Source organism: Homo sapiens, chromosome 14 (assembly GCF_000001405.40).
Source record: "Homo sapiens chromosome 14, GRCh38.p14 Primary Assembly".
Taxonomy (NCBI): domain Eukaryota; kingdom Metazoa; phylum Chordata; class Mammalia; order Primates; family Hominidae; genus Homo; species Homo sapiens.
This window is the reverse complement of record NC_000014.9, coordinates 53,215,477-53,237,827: the sequence shown is the minus strand read 5'-3', so window position 1 is coordinate 53,237,827 and position 22,351 is coordinate 53,215,477. Positions and strand designations below refer to the sequence as shown.

General features: G+C 40.1%; 1 long non-coding RNA gene across 1 annotated transcript in view, besides 1 other annotated feature; it reads right to left on the bottom strand.

The window, feature by feature from the left end:
• The window catches only part of LOC105370502 (uncharacterized), a 73,457-nt gene that overhangs the window by 4,643 nt on the left and 46,463 nt on the right, over positions 1-22,351 (bottom strand). The window lies entirely within an intron of this gene.
• Positions 19,918-20,337: a silencer, noted in NCBI's record as "silent region_5753". NCBI's record gives its function as "represses an Ori minimal core promoter by ATAC-STARR-seq in GM12878 lymphoblastoid cells {active_cell/tissue: GM12878}" and the evidence as "EXISTENCE:reporter gene assay evidence [ECO:0000049][PMID:35858748]".

Here is a 22,351-nt window from a genome sequence, read left to right as displayed (position 1 = left end):
GAACTGGGATACAAACCCATGTTGCTCTGGCTCCAAGGCCCAAAACCCCCTATGACAATACAATGAAATAAGGCCTCCCCTTCCCCCACCCTCTGCATATGCAGTATAATTCCTTCACTAAGGAAAAAGAATTTGCGCTTTTCCTGCAAGTCATTTCCTATACAACACACACAGTTTCAGCAGCCATTGTCAAGAAAATCCACTTCCCTTTCATTTCTTGTTACTCTTGGATACTTAACAACTTCTCTCACTAATTTTACAGAAGATATTTTCTGTTGCAGGTATTTCCAAAATGTCTGTAACTATTATTTCTTCTTGGCATGTCCCTTGATATATCCCTTGTAGGTAAATGTTTGAGGGTGGAATGGTATTCCCTAAAACATCTCTTTTTCTGGCCTTGTTTCTGACTGGGGTAAAATTATTTGGTCTTGGCAGGCTCTAAAATGAGTACTTGAACCCTCACTTTATTCAATGCATTATATCACTATGTTCTTTGGTTTTGAAACTACACTTTCTCCAGTGCAGTTCTAAATTTTCCACTGGACATCCCCTAGCTGTTTGCTGATAGCTGTTTCCTTTAAAAAGGAAAAATTTGATACAAATTGAAAATGTTAACAAGAAGAGCATAGCTGAAACGCTAATCGTATTACTAAAGTCACCTGGAGACACATTAGTATCAAATGTGCCTTTGTAACATATGCTTCACTTTTTTCAATTTATAACTACATAAAATGAACCCCCTTCCTCTGGCGCAAGTCTCTTTTGTTCCTATTCAATTTCTACTCCCTCTTAACTAAAACAGAAGGAGTCAGAACACTCTGTAGAGAGGACACTATCTTAATCCTCTGGACAAAGGACACTGTTGATTAAATGCAAGGTCTTGACTGAAGGAGATCCTTGGGAGGGTCCCATCGGAGATGATCTTTCTGATTAGGAATTGTGTCAGGCATTTTGGAGTTCTGCCATCAAATGCTGCGTGGTGAGCTTCTACACATCTCCTGCCACCACCTATTGTAGCAGAGAAGCCACAGCAAAGGTCAATTTCCCAGACACAAAAACAGGTCCCACTCCTGTGAAGGGCAATCAAGCTCCTGCAAGGAAATGGTCTGCAAAAGGGAGCCCTTAGGAATTCGCTTTTTCTTTCCTCTGAAACTTGAGCTTGATACATCCCTCAAGCTCAAGTTTAAAATTGTAAAGAAGAAAAACACAATTTAAATTTTTACTCTTATTTACTCACGATGAGTAAAACCCAATCATACAGAATGAGAGAGAAAAACAAGGCTCCTACAAATTAAAATAAAGAACTTTGAAAAGAGTCAAAGAGAAACAATCTAAACTAAGAATTTGGACACTCAGCTTTTAGTTTCTGCTCTATTACTAATAAATTGTGTGTCCCTGGAGAAAATAGTTAATCTTTCTGACTAATTTCAGTTTTCTCATATAAAATTATGATGACAGTGATGATATAGTTGTACCCCACTTCATGGTTACAAGGTCCTTTTATATACTTTGATACAACAACCCATGAGACAATTATTATTACTGCTAGTCTAGAAATGAGGAACTAAGACTTCGAATGGTTAAATGACTGCCTGAAGTTCATACAACTGCAAACTATAAGGTGATAATCACATGTAGGTCTTCTAAGTCGAAAATCAATTGCCTTTCTACTAAACCCTATTGAGAGGAAGATTTCCAACATGATTCAAAATCTGTGATACTACAATCAAAATTCCGGGAGAGTAAGATTGAATTATTTCTGTACCTCTACAGAGACTAGGGCATCAGTTTTCATTTTCTTATTCTTACCTATTTCATTCTTAGGACAAAGCTCATAGAAGTTAACTGAGAATAAGCTGGCCTTCAGAAAGAGGGGAAGAAGCTATGTAACGAGAGAGCAAGAAATGACAGGTTGAGACACTATGGAATAATCTGTTGAATGATATACAAATAGAAATTTTTATGAGCCATACAATTATTTTTATTCCAGTAACTCATTCTCTTCTTGCTCCCATATGAAAGATACCTTAAATACTTTAATTAAAGGATTTTTGTATAATTTATTTCATCTACTGTTTCATTACACACATTTTTATCATCTCAAAAGAAAATCCTCTAGTGATTTGAACTGTGCAGCATAATCAGCCACTATTACAAGTATGTTTTTCTCCCTCCGTCATCATCCTCTGCAATATACAAAGATAACAAAATGAACTAAGCATGCTTTATAATTTCCCTGGTCTAATTTGTTACCCATTGTGAAAAACAGAAACAATCAAGATGTAAGATTTCCAAGAGTTAGGGAACGAAGGATTAGAACTCTCAGCGACATGGGGGGGGAACTTACCTTACTTCCTCCATGAATTTATTTAATCTTTTTATATATAAGTGTGTACATTTCCTAAAATGAATTTGAGGCAGCTTAAAGTAAAAAATACACATAAGTTAGCCACTAAAATTGAGATTAAAAACAGCCTGTATTTTTCTCTCAGTCTTATTCATTTTGAAGGGAAGATTAAAGGATGGTCTTACATTCAAAAGCAAATAATAATAGGAACATATATCACATCCTAAATACAAATGTTAAGACCTCAGAAATCTATTACTAGCTTTAGAAAGCACATAAGGACTTAGTTTCTCTGATACCATCATTGTTGTCATCAACTTTATAAAACAGTTTTAAGTGCCTACTTGCAGAAATCAACATACTTAAGCATTGTAGTTTTTCAGAAGTTGAATAAACATGTTCCCTATTATCATGGAACTCAAAATGTCACAATAGAAGCAGAACAGGAACATTAAACCAACCCTTAAATGGACAGCAAGATACTTAAGATAGGTCAAATGGGGTGAGGGCATCTCTTACAGGGTCATAAGTGAAGCATCCGCAGATGAGCTTTGTTTTCAGGAGCTTCTTAAGTAAGGAGAAAAGAATAGCTGGGTACTTAATAGAATAGAGAGTGTTTACTAAGTGGCACTGCTTAGGAAAAGATTCAAAGGCAGTAATTGAACTAGTCCAATGGTCAGTTTGGCATTGGTCAGCAGCCAGTGGAATAATCATCTTCTCTTTGCTGGTAGGGAGAAAAGATAAGGTTTAACTACGGGAAGTCTGCCCACCAAAAGACATCAGGGATCTTAGCCCAGATGACGTTATTGAAGAATGGTGGCCCTGTCCATATATCAAAAGCTTGAGGTGAGGCTGGGTGTGGTGGCTCAGTCCTGTAATCCCAGCTCTTTGGGAGGCCGAGGCAGGAGGATCACAAGGTCAGGAGTTCGAGACCAGCCTGGCCAACATGGTGAAATCCCATCTCTACTAAAGATACAAAAAATTAGCTGGGCATGGTGCTGTGCACCTGTAATCCCAGCCACTCGGGAAGGTGAGGCAGGAGAATCACTAAAACCCAGCAGGCAGAGGTCGCAGTGAGCCAAGATTGTGCCATTGCACTCCAGCCTGGGCAACAGAGTAAGACTCCATCTCAAAAAAAAGAAAAAAAAAAAAAAACCTTGAGGTGAAAAGGAAGAAAAAGCAATCCGAGTTTGATAAAGATAGACAATAAAGGGGATCAGAGAATGCTACCCCAAAATATGCCACTTTGGCACTATTATTTTGAGCTGAAGGCAATAGAGAAAGAGCAGATGCAAAACACACACACAAACCAGAAAACTCTCCACCTATGTTTGCCTAAAAGCTGGGCATACATTCTCATTTGTAAAAATGCCCTCCCTTGCCGGGTGCGGTGGCTCAGGCCTGTAATCCCAGCACTTTGGGAGGCCGAGGTGGGTGGATCACCCGAGGTTGGGAGTTCGAGACCAGCCTGACCAACACAGAGAAACCCTATCTCTACTAAAAATACAAAATTAGCTGGGCATGGGGGTACATGGCTGTAATCCCAACTACTTGGGAGGCTGAGGCAGGAGAATCACTTGAAACTGGGAGGCAGAGGTTGCAGTGAGCCAAGATTGTGCCATTGCACTCCAGCCTGGGCAACAAGAGCAAAACTGTGTCTCAAAAAAAAAAAAAAAAGTCCTCCCTCCTCTCTCTTGTTCCAGGAAGAGACAAATGAGTTAATCACCAGACATAACTCTAGACTCTTATCAGCCCAGAGGTGGCACCAAGAGGAAGCTACATAACAAACCTTACTAAACAACACTTATCTTCCATTAGTTTCCCCATATATTTACCTCTCCAAAGTTTGCTGTCTCCGAAAACCTAAATCTCCTTTTCCTTTGTCTTGTCATTCTTCCACAAATTTATCGTTCTTTGTTAAAATAGTATCTAATCCCTGGGGTCTGTCTAACCACCCCTTTGAGTTATTCATTAGTGAGTTCCTCCCACATGTTTGCACACTACACACATAAATAACCTCTGTTTTCTTTTCTCCTGCTAATCTGTCTTTTGTCAGTTTATTTTGCAGAGCCCCAGTTACTAAATCTGGTAGGTCAGAGGAGAAAGGTTTTGTCCTCCCTTCCAACAAACAAATTCAGATAATTTAGTAACAACCAAATATTTGCCCAAATTTTCCTCTATACATGTATATTACCCCATTTAATTCAGTTTGTGAAAATAGATGGTATAAGTTATTCTGATTATCACAATACTGATCATAAGATGGTGTAAGTCATTCTTTTTCTTGTTTGTTTGTTTGGAGATGGAGTCTCGCTCTGTAGCCCAGGCTGGAGTGCAGTGGCATGATCTCAGCTCACAGCAACCTCTACCTCCCAGGTTCAAGCAATTCTCCTGCCTCAGCCTCCTGAGTAGCTGGGACTACAGGCATACGCCACCACGCCTGGCTAATTTTTTGTATTTTAGTAGAGACGGGGTTTCACTGTGTTGCCCAGGCTGGTCTCGAACCCCTGAGCTAAGGCAATCTGCCCACCTTAGCCCCCCAAGGTGCTAAGATAATGTGTAAGTCATTCTTATTACCAGAACGCCATAAATAAGAAAAGGAATAAAGTATTAATAATAAAATGTCAAATAGAATATTTGGTATAATCAGGCTTAGCAATTTAATGTGAAAATCTATTTCGCTTTTTATTTTTATTTTCTTGAGATGGAATCTCACTCTGTCACCCAGGCTGGAGTGCAGTGGTGCAAACTCCGCTCACTGCAACCTCCGCCTCCTGGGTTCAACCAATTCTCCTGCCTCACCCTCCCCAGTAGCTGGGATTATAGGCATGTGCCACCACGCCCAGCTCAATTTTTGTATTGTTAGTAGAGACAGGGTTTCACCATGTTGGCCAGGCTGGTCTTGAACTCCTGACCCAAGTGTTCCACCTGCCTTGGCCCCCCAAAGTGCTGGGATTACAGACATGAGCCACCATGCCTGGCCCTATTTCACATTTTCAATTCAGTAATGTACAATTTAGTTTTTTTCAAATTTTCATTACCAGACTTAATAAATAGCAACTTCTTGATTTTGTCCATTCATAATGCAAACATTTCTCTGGGAAAAATGACCTAACATGTCTTCTACAGAAGCAGAAATGAGAAAAGAAACCATTCTTGACCCTCCCTTTCTCCTCTCCCTGCCAAAAAAAAAAGAAAAAGAAAGAAAGAAAGAAAGAAAGAAAGAAAGAAAGAAAGAAAGAAAGAAAGAAAGTGGAAAAAAGAATGTAATTCTTATATAAAATGTAATGAGGCTGGGCACATTGACTCATACTGGTAATCCCAGCATTTTGGGAGGCTGAGGTGGATGGGTTACTTGAGCCCAGGAGTTTGGGACCAGCCTGGGCAACATGGTAAAACCCCACCTATACAAAAAAAAAATTAGCCAGGCATGGTGGCATGCACCTGCAGTCCCAGCTACTTTGGAGGCTGAGTGTGGAGGATCACTGGAGCCTGGGAAGTGGAGGCTCCAGTGAGCCATGTTCATGTAACTGCACTCCATGCTGGGTGACAAAGTGGCATGTGACCCTGTCTCAAAAATAAAATCAAATTGAATCTAATGAGACACAAACATTTCTGAGTATTACTTTGAAAAAATCTGAAATTTAAGAATTCTTAGCCAAGTCTGATAAAAATCCTCCAAAATTTCTGTCTGACCACAGCTTCCTACTTTCCAGTTTTTTACTCCTTTATTCAGACCTCGTCACTTTCTACTTCGCACAGAGAGCTCCAATCTCACAGTCCTTCTGTCTCGATCTAATTTATCAGCAGTTTCCTTCCATATTCAGCCAAGATAGACCCAATGGATCTTCAAATCCTATGCTCTTGACAAAATTTTCAGATATCTTTTTTTCACCCACAGATCATCCAATTATCCATTGTATATTCTTCTACATGTAGCAGCCAGTTGATTGCTGCCAGAATAAATGAATTATTTCCTACTGCAGCCACTTAAATGTCACTCAGAAATGCCTTTTGCCTGCCCCAGTCAGCTCACTCTCCTAATCACAGTGCAAATGTCAAAATGACCTCCCTGCTTCTACTTGCCCTCCCACACACTCTCTGAAAAAAGACACTTCTACTGCTTAGAGAAAACAGTCCATCTCTCAGCTTCAAGGCCTTCGAGCCTACAGATTTATTACACACTCTCCTAGATTTATGCTATTTTTCCTCTTGACGGGGGCCAATTTCCTTGTGAGTGCTCTGGATTCTTATCTTCTCTCTCCTAAAGGACCTGGCTCCAGCGATCAGTCACCATTGTCTTATCCCTCTTACTTCTTCAGCTTTTTTCTCTGTTAATTCCTTCCGCTATATGTACACACATGTTCAATAATCTCTCCTCTAACAAAAAATAATAATAAGCTAAAACAAAACATAAAACAAACACCACCAATAAAATACTTGCTTAACCCAGGAAATTAATTTTAGCTTTTGTCCTGTCTCTCTCATTTTTTCTTCATACAAAACCTACTTGTTTTAAATAATGCCTATTTATATCATCATAATAGAAATTGATTATCATTATTATTTAAGTGAAAATAGAAGTGAATAGAAAAAAATCACCCACAGGTAAATTACCAAGAAAAACAGCAGTTAATACTTTCCTACATTCATGTACAGTTTTTTTGTTGCTGTTATCATTAAAATAATTGTAATCATAAAACAAGCAAATTCATATATTTTGATTTTTAAAAACAAATCCACTTTTTAAAAATTAAAAGGTAGTAAGGACTCTGGCCACAATGATGCAGTGAACTTCTCCTTCAATATACTTTCCTCTGCTCTAAACACAAAACAACTAAAAATCCAATATTAAAAAAGAGAAAATTAAAAAGTGTTATCCAGTCAATCATATCGAATAAGAGATTCACGTCAGAATATATAAGGATCACCTAAAATTCAACAACAACAACAAAAAAAACTTGATTTTAAAATGGGCAATTGACTTGAATAGGCATTTATCTTAAGAAGACATACAAACAGCCAAAAGCACATGGAAAGTTGCTCAATATCACTGAACATTAGGGAAATGAAAATCAAAATCACAATAAGATGTCATGTCACGTCCATTATGATGGCTACTATTTATTTTTATTTTATTATTACTATTTATTGAGACAGAGTCTCACTGTGTTGCTCAGGCTGGAGTGCAGTAGTATGATCTTGGCTCATTGCAGCCTCTGCCTCCTGGGTTCAAGCAATCCTCCCACCTCAGCCTCTCAAGTAGCTGGGACTACAGGCGTGCACCATCACAACTGGCTAATTTTTGTATTATTTTGTAGAGATAGGGTTTCACCATGTTGCCCAGGCTGGCCTTGAACTTCTGAGCTCAAGCAATCTGCCCGCCTCAGCCTCCCAAATTGCTGGGATTATAGGCGTGAGCCTCCACACCTGGCCAGATGGCACTATTTAAAAAAAAGAAAAAGAAAAAAAAAACAGGTGGGATGCAGTGGCTCATGCTTGTAATCCCAGTACTTTGGGAGGCCGAGGCAGGCAGATCACTTGAGGCCAGGAGTTCAAGGCCAGCCTGGCCAACATAGTGAAACCCCATCTCCACTAAAAATACAAAATATTAGCCAGGTGTGGTGGTGGGCACCTGTAATCCCAGCTATTCAGGAGGCTGAGGCAGGAGAATCGCTTGAACCCAGGAGGTGGAGGTTGCAGTGAGCTGAGATTGCACCATTGCACTCCAGCCTGGGCAACAAGAGCAAAACTCCATCTCAAAAAAACAAAAACAAAAAAAAATATATATATATATATACATATATGAATATAGAGAAATTGGAGCCCAGAACCCTGGTGCACTGTTGGTGGCAATCTAAAATGGTGCAACCACTGTGGAAAATAGTATGGAGGTTTCTCAAAAAATTAAACATAGAATTACCACAAGATCCAGAAATTTTACTTTTGGTTATATACCCAGAAGAATTTAAAGCAAGGACTCCAAAAGATATTTGTATACCCAGATTCATAACAGCATGATTCACAATAGCCAAAAAAGTGACACAACCCAAATATCTATGAATGAATACACAAACAACATGTGTTGTGTTCATATAGTGGGATATTATTCAGCTTTAAAATGAAAGGAAATTATCACATTACAACGTGGATCGACCTTGAAGATATTATGCTAAGTGAAATAAAGCAGTCACAAAAGGACAAACACTATATGATTCCATTATATGAAGTACTTAGAGTAGTCAAATTCATGGAGACAGAAAGTAGAATGACGCTGACGGAGCTAGAGAGGTGCAGGGAATGGGGAGTTATTGATTAATGGGTACAGAGTTTCAGTTTTGCAAGATTAAAACAGTTCAGAAGATGAATGGTGGTAATGGTTGTATAACAATGTGAATGTACTTAATGCCACTGAACTGAACACTTTAAAATGGCTAAAATGGTAAATTTTATGCTATATGTATTTTATCATAATTTTTAAAGAAAACTAAAATTTAAAGAGGTTTAGCCAGGTTTCAGAAATGATAAATACCTCTGTGACCACACATGAAGAATAAAACAAAGCAATGAACACAATCAAACTGGCTTTGTGGGGGAGATGGGGGATGAGGGGTGGGCGGGGGGAACCAGAAGTGATCCTGGAAAACAAACAAACAAACAAAAAAAAACCCTGACATTCAAAAAAATATATATCCTGTCAAATGTACATTAATACCAATATTTATAACACCTTGCAAAGTACTTAATAAATATTATCCTCACTTTACACATAAGAAAACAAATTAAAAGGTCTTAAGCAACTTGTCTAAAATCACACACTTAGAACCAGGATTCGGACAAAGATATGGCTTACTCCATTGCCTTTTTTTTTTAACCCTATATGCAAATGTTTCTACAGTAGGGAAGATCACCATTAGCTCATTAACTGACCCTAAATTAATAATTATTTTATTAGAAGGTTGAAAGGCCCTAGAAAAATAGCCTACATTACTCAATAAAAATTTATTGAACACTTAGATTATCCCAGGCAACATTCTAGATTCCAAGACCATAGTTGTGAACTCAGATGGGGATGGGATAAAGGGAAGAAGTAAAAGAAGAGAGGAAAGCGGGAATGGAGGAAGATAGATGGTCATGGTGTACCTAAACTGGAAGCCTTGATAAAAAGTCTACTGTGTGACTTCAAAGAAGTTCCTATGTCAGCAACTACTTATTACCTTGACTGTGGCACCTTTCCCATATGATAAACTGTTCCTATCCTGTTTCTAGACCCACTCATCACCAATTTTCATGCCTTAGAACAAAAATCAAAACTTCAGTGTAGTCTTTTATTGGTTGTAATTCAAGTATTAACTCATCTTCTTTCATATATTACCATCTTAAAAAGGCTCTATCAAAATGGAAAAGCCATTAAGAAAGACCCAAGGTAATGAAGTTATTAAAATAAAAAGATGACAGATGTCAGCAAGATGGCTGACTAGAGATGCCTGACATTTTCCCCCACTACAAGAAAAGAACAAAGGCAATGAATGAACAGCTAAGATTTGACTGGAGTGTTGAAGGGAGAGCACCAGAGTGTAGCAGGGAACTGGAGATGCACCTGTGGTCATTGGAAGTTCAGGAGGACAGCAAGATGCAACTGGTCTCTGCAGCCTCCCCTCCCACCATGCTCCCTCCCTGATTGGATTGGCCTAGAGTCAGGAGGGAATTCCTGTTGTAGGGAAAAGGTAAGCAGAAGATTCCCACCAGCCCCCACTGCCACTACAAATACAAACAGTCCTTATATAACACGAGAATCCCACAGTCCTCACAAGCCCTGAGCCCAGTTTGGAGAGCTACCAGGAATTCATACAGCCACACTGCCCTGAATAAGGACCACAAGGTGTGCACTCCCACCCCTGTCTACCCGCTTTGAGCCAATCTGCTGCAGCAGAGCACCATCTTGAGGCCAGAGACACCTCTGAAGAGTGTCTTGCCCTGGGGGTCAGGAGCCACTGCACCTCTCCAGCAGTGGGGCTCCATCTTCATCATTCCGAGTCCACACAGGTGGCTGAATACCACAACCCCAGCTGCAGGGAAACCAACCACCATCACTGCACTTCTAGCCAGAGTAACAGTTTGCCAGTCCTCCCTGGGGCAAACCCACCCTCAGCCAGCCAAACCACTGTGCACCCTCCCCCAAGAGGAAAAGATTACCAAGTCTCTGAGCAGCCGATATGCCCCCAGGCCAGTGGAGTGACTATGTGCCCATGCCAGGACCTGAGAAACAGCCCCACAGTGCCCCCACCTCCCACAGACATGTTCTTGGCTTACCCAATGGCCTGTGCCCCCAATAAGAGTCTGACAAACAGCCCTGTAAGCTGCCCCTGGTAGGCACAACCCCTCAGCTGGCTGAGCAGCCTTGCACTAGCATCCCAGACCTGAGAAACTACCCCATGGGCTTCTCCAGCACACATGCCCCCAGGTCAGCTGAGCAGGTGTGTATTCACTTCCCAGGACTGAGGAATGACTCCATGGCCCATCCCCAGAAGATATGCCCCCAGGACAACTGAGCAGCTGTGAACCCATGTCCCTAGACAGAGAAACAGCCCCATGGGCCACCTTGGTAGGATGCCCTCCCCCCCAGCCAATTGAGCACTGCTGTGTTTCATAGGCCCATGTCTCATGCCTATGAAACAGGCTTCCGGGCTACCTCCCACAGAAGTGGCCCCAGACCAGCCAAGCAGCTGTGCAGCTGTTCCTAGCGCTGAGAAACAGCCCCGTGAGTTGCCCCCAGCAGACATATCACCAGACCTGCCAAGCAGCTGTGTGACCACATCCCAGGCCCGAGAAACAGTCGTGTGAGCTGCTCTTAGCAAGAACATCCTCAGGCCAGCCAAGCAATTGTATGCTCATGTTCCTGGCTAGAGTAACAGCCCTGTGGCCCCAACACCACCAAGCAAAATCCCAATCTGGCTGATCCATTGTGTGCATACATGCGCCCCTAACCTGAGAAACACCCTGGCAAGCCACGCCAGCAAAGTTACACCACCATCACCACAAATTCTCTCAGTCCAGGCCACGGAGAAACTCACAAGTGTCATTAGTGTAGATTATAGCTGAAGAAACTACATGGAGACTACACCACTATGTCCCTCCAGAACCAAGGCCAACACACCCCATTGAACTGATACACCAAGACCCATTCATACAACTAAGTCTTTCCCTATGAAACCTTCCATAAAATTGGAAGACGTGACTTTTCTGCCAGATGCATAGAAAATCAACATAGGGACATATCAACCATGAAAAAGTAAAGAAATGTGACCTCTAAGGGAAAGCAGTAATTCTCCAGTAACAGACTCCAATCATAAGGAAATATAAGAAATTCCAGAAAAAGAATTCAAGCCCTAATAATCTTAAGGAAGCTCAGTGAGATAAAAGACAATACAAATAGACAAAACAATGAAATCAGAAAAATGATTTGAATGAGAAATTCAACAAAGAAATAAATATCATAAAAAAGAACAAAAAAGAAATTCTAGAGCCAAATAATTCAATGAATGAAATTTAAAAAACCAATTGAGAGCTTCAACAACAAACCAGACCAAGCAGAAGAAAGAATTTCAGAACTTGAAGGCAGGTCTTTTGAAATAACACAGGCATACAGAATAAAAAAAGAATGAAGAAAACCTATAAGATTTATGGAACACCATTAAGCAAACAAATATTTGGCATTCCAGAAGGAGAAGAGAAGGAAAAACAGAAGAACAACATATTTAATGAAATGATAACAAAAACCTTTGCAAGACTTGGGAAAGAGATGGATATCCAGTTCCAGGAAGCCCAAAGAAACCCAAATAGATTCAACATAAACAGTTCCTATCTGAGCCAAATTTGAGTCAAATTTTAGAAAGTCAAAGACAAAGAAATAATTTTAAAAGCACCAAGAAAAAAATGTCAAGTCACATACTAAAAAATTCCCATTAGACTAACAGTGGATTTCTCAGCAAAAAACTTACAGGCCAGGAGAGAATGAGATGATATTACTATATTCAAAATACTGAAAGAAAAAAAAAAGCTGCCAGTCAAGAATATTTTACCCAGCAAAGGTATGCTTCAGAAATGACGGAAAAATAAAACTTTTCACAAACAAGGCATAACTAAGGGAATTCACCATCACTAGATTGGCCTTGCAATAAATGCTCAAGAGAGCCTTACATCTGAAAGTGAAAAGATGACAACCACCATAATGAAAACCTGTGAAACTATAAAACTCACTTGTAGAGCGATAAACAAAGGAGAAGGAGAAAGGAATCAAACCTTATTGTTACAGAAAACCACCCAACCAAAAAAAATAAATGATCAGAGAGGAAGTAGGGAACAAAAGATATACAAAACAAACAGAAAACAACCAATAAAATGACAGAAATAAGTCCTATCAACAATAATCTTGAAGGTAAGTGGATTAAATTTCCCACTTAAAAGCTATAGACTGGCTGAATAGATTAAAAAAAAAACAGACCCAAATATATGCTGCCTACAAGAAATTCACCTCACCTATAAAGACACACATAGTCTGAAAGTGAAGAGATGGAAAAAGATATTTCATGCAAATGGAAACCAAAAGCAAGCAGGAGTAGCTATACTTATATCAAACAAAACAGACTTCAAATTAAAAGCTGTAAAAAGAGACAAAGAAGGATATTATATAATAACTAAAGGATCACTTCAGGAAGAAAATATAATAACTGTAGATACATACGCACTCAACACCAGAACACTTAGATTTATAAGGCAAATATCATTAGATCTAAAGGGAAAGATAGACCCCAATTCAATAATAGTTGAGGATGTCAACACTCTAATTTTCTCTCAGAAAATCAACAAAGAAACATAAAATTTAAACTGTAACATTGACCAAATGGACCTAACAAACGTTTACAGAACATTTCACCCAACAGCTGAATAATACACTTTTTTCTTTCATTAGAACATGGAACGTTCTTCAGGATTGATCATGTATTAGGACAGGCAGACACATTCTGAGACAAGTCTCAGAAAATTTTTAAAAATCCAAATCATATCAAGTATCTTATCTGGCTACAATGAAATAAAACTAGACATCAATAACAAGAGGAACATTTGAAACTATACAAATACATGGAAACTAAACAACATGCTCCTGAACAACCAATGAGTGAAGTAAGAAATTAAGAATAAAAATTTAAAATTTCTTGAAACAAATGAAAATAGAAACACAACATACCAAAAGCTATGGGGCTCACAGCAAAAGCAGTATTAAGGGGGAAGTTTATAGTAATAAAGGCCTACATCAAAAAACTAGAAAGATTTCAAATAAATAGCATAACAATACACCTCAAGGAACTAGAAAAGCAAGGACAAACCAAATCCAAAATTAATAGAAAGAATAAGGATCAAAGCAGAAATAAACAAAATTGAGAATAACAAAAATAAAAAAATTAAAAAGTTTAATGAAACAAAAAGTTGGCTTTTGGGAAAGATAAACAAAATTTACAAACCATTAGCTAGACTAAGAAAAAAAGAGAGAAGACTCAAATAAATAAAATTAGAAATGAAGAAGGAGACATGACAATGGATATTACAGAAAAAGAAAAGATCGGCAGAGGCTGGGCATGGTGGCTCACGCCTGCAATCCCAGTACTTTGGGAGGCTGAGGTGGGTGGATCACAAGGTCAGGAGTTCAAGACCAGCCTGGCCAACATAGTGAAGCCCCATCTCTACTAAAAATACAGAAAATTAGTCGGGCATGGTGCCAGATGCCTGTAATCCCAGCTACTCAGGAGGCTGAGGCAGGAGAATCACTTGAACCCAGGAGGCGGAGGTCGCAGTGAGCTGAGATCTTGCCATTGCACTCCAGCCCAGGCAACAGTGCGAGACTCTGTCTCAAAAAAAAAAGAAAGAAAGAAAAAAAAAAGATCATCAGAGACTACAATGAACAACTACACACTAATAGATAAATTTGAAAACCTAGAGAAAAATGGATAAATTACTGGATACATACAATCTACCAAGATTGAACCAAGAAGAAATAGAAAACCTGAACAGAAGACCAATAACAAGTAACAAGAATGAATCAGTAATAAAAATCTTCCAAAAAAAAAAAGTTCAGGCCGGGCACGGTGGCTCATACCTGTAATCCCAGCACTTTGGGAGGCTGAGGCAGGCGGATCACAAGGTCAGGAGATCGAGACCAGCCTGACCAACATGGTGAAACCCTGTCTCTACTAAAAAAACAGAAATTAGGGGGGTGTGGTGGCACACGCCTGTAATCCCAGCTACTCAGGAGGCTGAGGCAGAAGAATCACTTGAACCTAGGAGGTGGAGGTTACAGTGAGCCGAGATCATACCACTTCCCGGGTGACAGAGGGAGGCTGTGTCTCAAAAAAAAAAAAAAAAAAAAATTCGGGACCAGGTGCCCTCACCACTGTATTCTGCCAAACCTTTAAAGAATAATAGCAGTTATTCTCAAAGCATTTCCAAAAATTGAAGCAGAGGGAATTCTTTCTAACTCATTCTACAAAGCCAGCATAACCTTGGTACCAAAACCAGACAAGGACACAACAAAAATATAAGCCAACTCCCTGTAAGCCAATATCCCTGATGAATATAAACATAAAAATCCTCAACAAAATACTAGCAAACTGAATCCAACAACATATCAAAAAGATAAATACATTATGAGCAAGTGAGATTTATCATAAGAATACAAGGATGGTTTAATATATATAAATCAATAAATATTATACATCATATCTATAGAATGAAGAAGAAAAAACATATCATCTCAATAGATGCTGAAAAAAATTGAAAAAAATTCAATATCCCTTCATGATAAAACTGCTTAATAAATTAAGTATAGAAGAAAAGCATCTCAACATAATAAAGGTTGTATATGACAAACCCACAGCTAACACCTTACAGAGTGGAAAAAAGTTGAAAACTTTTCCTCTGAGAACTGGAACAAAAAAAGGTTGTCCATGCACACTACTCTTATTCAACATAGTACTGGAAGTCTTAGCCAGAGCAATTAGGCAATAGAAAGAAACATAGGGCAACCAAATTGAAAAGAAAGAAGTCAAATTGTCCCTGTTTATATATGATAAGACCTTATATATAGAAAAACCAAAAGATTGATTCTACAAAAAAACTCTTAGAACCAGTAAACAAATTCAGTAAAGTTGTGGGATACAGAATAAACAAAAATCATTTATTTTCAGAAACAACAAACTATCTGGAAAAAAAAAAAAACAGGAGGGCAATCTCATTTACAATAGCTACCAAAAATAAAATAAAATAAAATACCTAGGAATAAATCTAACCAAGGAGGTGAAAGATCTCTACAAGGAAAACCACAAAACACTGATGAAAGAAACTGAAGAAGACATAAACAAATGAAAAAGACAAGCCATGCTCATGGACCAGAAAAATTAGTATTGTTAAAATGACAATACTTACCCCAAAAAGATCTACAAATTTAACACAATTCCTATGAAAATACCAATGACATTCTTTACAGAAAAAAAAAAAAATCTAAAATTTGTATGGGACCAAAAAAGAGCCCAAGTTTCTAAAATAATCCTGCACAAAAAAAGAGCAAAGCTGAAAGTATCACAGTACCAGATCTCAAAATAATCAAAACAACATGATATAAAAACAAATACATAGACCAATTGAATAAAATTAAGACCCCAGAAATTGATCCACGTATCTACAGTCAACTGATTTTTGACAAAGGTGCCAATAACACTCATTGGGGAAAGCACAGTCTCTTCAATAAATGATCCCAGAAAAACTGTATATCTGTATGAAGAAGCATAAAACTAGACCTCCACCTCTTATCCTGTACAAAAATCAACTGAAAATGGATCAAAGACCTAAATGTAAGACCCAGGACAATAAAACAACTAGAAGAAAATATAGGGGAAACACTTTAGGACATTAGTCTGATAAAATATTTTATAAATAAGACCTCAAAGCACAGACGACAAAAGCAAAAATAAACAAATGAGATTATATCAAACTAAATAGCTTCTGCACAGCAAAGGAAACAATCAGCAGAATGAAAAGACAACCCCCAGAATGGGAGAAAATATTTGCAAACTATTCATTCATCAGACAATTCATATTCAGAATATACAGGGAACTAAAAAATAACAAACACTGGCAAGAATGTAAAGAAAAGGGAACTCATATACTATTGGTGGGAATATAAACTAGTACAACTGCTATGGAGAACAGTATAGAGTTTCCTCAGAAAAACTACAAATGTAACTGACATATGATCCAGCAATCCCACTGCTGGGAATGTACCCAAAGAAAATGAAGTCATTATATCAAAGAGACACCTGAACCCCCATATTTATTACAACATTATTCATAATAGCCAAGATAAGGAATTGACCTAGGTGTCTAACGACAGAGAAATTGATAAAGAAAATGTGGTATATGGCCGGGCCCAGTGGCTCACGCCTGTAATCCCAGCACTTTGTGAGGCTGAGGCAGGTGAATCACTTGAGGTCAGGAGTTCAAGACCAGCCTGGCCAACATGGCAAAACCCTGTCTCTACTAAAAATACAAAAATTAATCAGGCGTGATGGCAGGTGCCTGTAATCCCAGCTACTCGGGAGGCTGAGGCAGGAGAATCGCTTGAACCCCAGAGGCAGAGGTTGCAGCGAGCCAAGACCAAGCCACTGCACTCCAGCCTGGGTGACAGAGCGAGACTCTTGTCTCAAGAAAAAAAAAAAGAAGAAGAAAGAAAGAAAATGTGATATATATACACAGTGGAGTACTAGTTAGCCACATAAAGAAATCCTGTCATTCATGGCAACATGGATGGAACTGGAAAACATTATGTTAAGTGAAATAAGCCAGAAACAGAAAGGTGTTTAACTTTCATATGCGGAAGCTAAAAAAAGTTGATCTCATAGAGGTGAAAAGTAGAACAGAGGATACTGGAGACTGGGAAGTGTAGGAGGAAGAGATGGAGAGGGAGAGACTTGTTAAAGGATACAAAATTGCAGCTAGATAGCAGGAATAAATTCTATTGTTCTATATCACTGCAGGATGACTAAAGTTAACAATAATATATCACAGTTTCAAATAGCTAAAAGGAGGATGTTAAATGTTCCAACACAAAAATATGATAAATGTTTGAGATGATGGATGCTAATTACCTTGATCTGATCACTGTACATTATATGTATCAAAACATCACTGTGTACCCCATGAATATTAACGATTGTTACTTGTCAATTTGAAAAATGTGTAAAGAATGCAATAATGTTAAAAAATAGGCCGGGCACAGTGGCTAATGCCTGTAATCCCAGCAATTTGGAAGGCTGAGGCAGGCGGACCACCTGAGGTCAGGAGTTTGAGAACAGCCTGACCAACACGGAGAAACCCCATCTCTACTAAAAATACAAAAATTAGCTGGCTGTGGTGGTGCATGCCTGTAATCCCAGCTACTCGGGAGGCTGAGGCAGGAGAATCGCTTGAACCCAGGAGGCAGAGGTTGTGGTGAGCCGAGATTGCGCCATTGCACTCCATCCTGGGCAACAAGAGCAAAACTCCATCTCAAAAAATAGTAATAATAAAATTAAATAAAAAATTAAAAATAAATAAAAAGAGGAGCAATGGAACAAATATTTAGGGAAAGAGATGCTTTGAGCCCCAAATCACTCCAGGTGGATAGCACCCTAATCTTAATTTAAATGTTACTGCTTATAACAGAAGAGCTCATTCTAGCTAGGCATGGTGGCTCATGCCTGTAATCCCAGCACTTTGGGAGGATGAGGTGAGGGGATTTCTTGGGATCAGGAGTTCAATACCAGCCTGGGCAACATAGCGAGAGCATGTCTTTGAAAAAAAAATTTTTTTAATTAGCCAGGCATGGTGGCACTTACCTGTAGTCCCAGCTACTCAGGAGGCTGAGGTGGGACGATTACTTGAGCCCAGGAGGTCAAAGCTGCAGTAAGCCATAATTGCACCACTGCACTCCAGCCTGGGCGACATAGTGAGACCCAGTCTCAAAAACAAAACAAAGCAATACAAAAAAAAAACCTCACCCTGCCTTTTGATTAAAGGGATAAAGTGAGGAAAGAAGTGGGTTTTTTTATTTGCTACGTACAGAAGGATTCAATTCAGATCAGTTCAATTTAACAAATATTTGTTGAGCCCTACTCTATATCAGACATTATTAGGTACAGAAGATATGAATAAAATGTCTGTCTTCAGGAAGTTCAAAGTCTGCAGAGAAAGACTAGTAAACCAAAATTTTATGAGACCATAATGAAACACTATTACACATCCACCAGAATGTCTACAATTTAAAACTCACACAATACCAAATATTGATGAAGATATGAAGCAACAGATTTTTGGTGGGAGTGTAAATGGTATAATCATTTTGGGGAAAAGTACAGCAGTTTTTTTAAAAACAAAAACTAAATGTAAATATTCTATGACCCAAAAATATCAGTCATATAATTGAGTGTGTGCGTGTGTGTATCAACAAAAAGACCTTCACAGGAATATTCATAGTAGCTTTGTTCACAATAGCCAGAAACTGGAAACAGCCCAGGTGTGCTTCAACTGAAGAATGGATTTTTAGAATTTAGTATATCTATACAATGGAATATTACTTGGTAATTTAAAGACTTTTAAAAAATAATGACCCTGCCAGATGAGGTGGCTCACGCCTATAATCCTAGCACTCTGGGAGGCCGAGGCGGGCAGATCACCTGAGGTCAGGAGTTCGAGACTAGCCTGTCCAACATAGTGAAACCCTGTCTCTACTAAAAATACAAAAATTAGCTGGCGTGATGGCACACGCCTGTCGTCCCAGCTACTAAGGCAGGAGAATCACTTGAACCCAGGAGGCGGAGGTTGCAGTGAGCCAAGATCGTGCCACCACACTCCAGCCTGGGCAACAGAGTGAGAATCTGTCACAAAATAATAATAATAATAATAATAACCCTGTCTCTACTGAAAAACATAAAAAATTAGCCAGAGGTCGTGATGCATACCAGCAGTGCTAGCTACTTGAAAGGCTGAGGCAGGAGAATTCCTTGAGCTCAGGAGCTCAAGTCTGCAGTGAGCTATGACTGCACCACTGCCCCCCAGCCTGGGTGACAGAGTGAGATCCTGAATCTAAAAGCAAACAAAAAAAAATTACTGATACATACAACCTATGTATCTCAAAAACATTATGCTGAGTAAAAGAAGTCTTACATGAAAGAGTACAGTTCAATGGATATAAAGTTCTATAACAGGCAAAACTAGTTGGAAGAAAATCAGAATAGTCATTGCCTCTAAAGGAGATTATTTCCTGGGAAGGGGCTTGGGTACACTTTTCGGGGTGGGGGTAATGTTCTATATCTTGATAGGTGTGTAGGTTACTCACATGTATTGAGAGGTGACAACATGCTAGCAGCCCTCACTGGCTCTCGGCGCCTCCTCAGCCTTGGCGTCCACTCTGGCCATGCTCAAGGAGCCCTTCAGCCCGCCACTGCGCTATGGGGGCCCCTCTCTGTGCTGGCTGAGGCTGAAGCCAGCTCCCTCTGCTTGTGGAGAGGTGTGGCGGGAGAGGCGGGGGCGGGAACCAGGGCTGAACGCGGCTAGTTCCGGGTGGGCGCAGGCTCCGAGGTCCCGCACTGAGAGCAGCCCGCCGGCACCGCCGGCCCGGGCAGTGAGGGGTTTAGCACCCGGGCCAGCAGCTGCGGAGGGTGCGCCGGGTCCCCCAGCACTGCTGGCCTGCCCCCGCGGAGCTTGAATTCTTGCTGGGCCTCAGCCGCCTCCCCGTGTGGCAGGGCTGGGGACCTGCAGCCAGCCATGCCCAAGCCCCGCCCCGGGCTCCCGCCAGCCCGACCCTACCCGACCGGCGCCGCCCCCTGCTCCTAGGCGCCCGGTCCCATCCACTGCCCAAGGACTGAGGGGTGTGGGCGTGCCTGCGCGGGACTGGCAGGCAGCTCTGCTAGCGTGTCCCCAGCACAGGATTCACTAGGGGAAGCCAGCTGGGCTCCTGAGTCAGTTGGGGACTTGAGAGAACTTTTATGTCTAGGGGAGGATTGTATATGCACCAATCAGCACTCTGTGTCTAGTGGGAGAGGGGGGGTTGTAGATGCACCAATCAGCACTCTGTATCTAGCTAATCTGGTGGGGACTTGGAGAACTTTTGTGTCTAACTAAAGGATTGTAAGTGCACCAATCAGTGCTCTGTGTCCAGCTCAAGATTTGTAAACGCACCAATCAGCACTCTGTATCTAGCTAATCTGGTGGGGACTTAGAGAACTTTTATGTCTAGCTGAAGGATTTTAAATATACCAATCAGCACTCTGTGTCTAGCTCAAGGTTTGTAAAAGCACCAATCAGCACTCTGTGTCTAGCTCAAGGTTTGTAAACACACCAATCAGTGCTCTGTGTCTGGCTAATCTAGTGGGGCCTTGGAGAACTTTTACATCTAGCTAGAGGATTGTAAATACACCAATCAGCAATGTGTGTCTAGCTCAGGGATTGTAAACGCACCAATCAGCTCTCTGTAAAACGGACCGATCAGCTCTCTGTAAAACTGACCAATCAGCAGGATGTGGATGGGGCCAGATAAGGGAATAAAAGCAGGCTGCCCCAGCCAGCAGTGGCAACCCGCTCAGGTCCCCTTCCACACTGTGGAAGCTTTGTTCTTTCACTCTTTGCAATAAATCTTGCTGCTTCTCACGCTTTGGGTCCACACTGCCTTTATGAGCTGTAACACTCACTGCAAAGGTCTGCAGCTTCACTCCTGAGGCCAGCAAGACCACGCGCCCACTGGGAGGAATGAACAACTCCAGACGGGAGGAATGAACAACTCCAGACGCACTGCCTTAAGCACTGTAACACTCACCACGGAGGTCTGCAGCTTCACTCCTGAAGCCAGTGAGACCACGAACCCACCAGAAGGAAGAAACTCCGAACACGTCCGAACATCAGAAGGAACAAACTCCAGACACACCATCTTTAAGAACTGTAACACTCACCGCGAGGGTCCGCGGATTCATTCTGGAAGTCAGTGAGACCAAGAACCCACCAATTTTGGACACAGTATGATTTAGTGAATCTCATGGTACACTTAAGATCACCACTGCACCCCAGCCTGGGCGACAGAGTGAGACCCTGAATCTTAAAAAAAAAAAAAAAAAAAAAATGTACTGATACATACAACCTATGTATCTCAAAAACATTACGCTGAGTAAAAGAAGTCTTACATGAAAGAGAATATACTGTACAGTTCAATTTATATAAAGTTCTATAACAGGCAAAACTAGTTGGAAGAAAATTGGAATAGTCACTGCCTCTAGAAGAGAAGACTTCCTGGAAAGGGGCTTGAGTACAGTTTTCAGGGTCAGGGTCATATTCTATATCTTGATAGGTGTGTAGGTTACTCACATGTATGATTTAGTGAATCTCATGGTACACTTAAGATTTGTGCATTTCACATTTCATTGTACATAAATTTAACATGAAATTTTAAAATAAGAATTACAAACAAATATAGAACTCTATATGTTATGTAGGAACTCTGAGTGATATGTATTCTGAGTTATTTGGAAAAAAGTATATCGATATCTGCAACTTACTTTGAAAAGCATTTTTCTAAAAACGTGGATTGATGGATAGAGAGAGAGATGTGACAAAGTAAGCACAATAAAACATTAATTGTGTGATCACTGCAAAATTCTTTCAACTTTTCTGCTTGAAAATTTTCCTCATAAAATGTTGAAGAAAATTATATGCAAGTGTAAAGATGTGTAAGGCTCAGAGGTACAGAGAAGGCAATTCACTCTAGCTTTGGAGGAAAGTGGGGAGATGTCAGAGACAATGTCAATGAAATGGTGATGTCTGAGTTGTGTTCTGAATGAACAAGCTTTCACCAGGCAGTCAAATAAGTTGGTGAATAAGATGTTTTGGTAGCTACAAGTAGTCTCATCTTGATGGACATGGGTATAT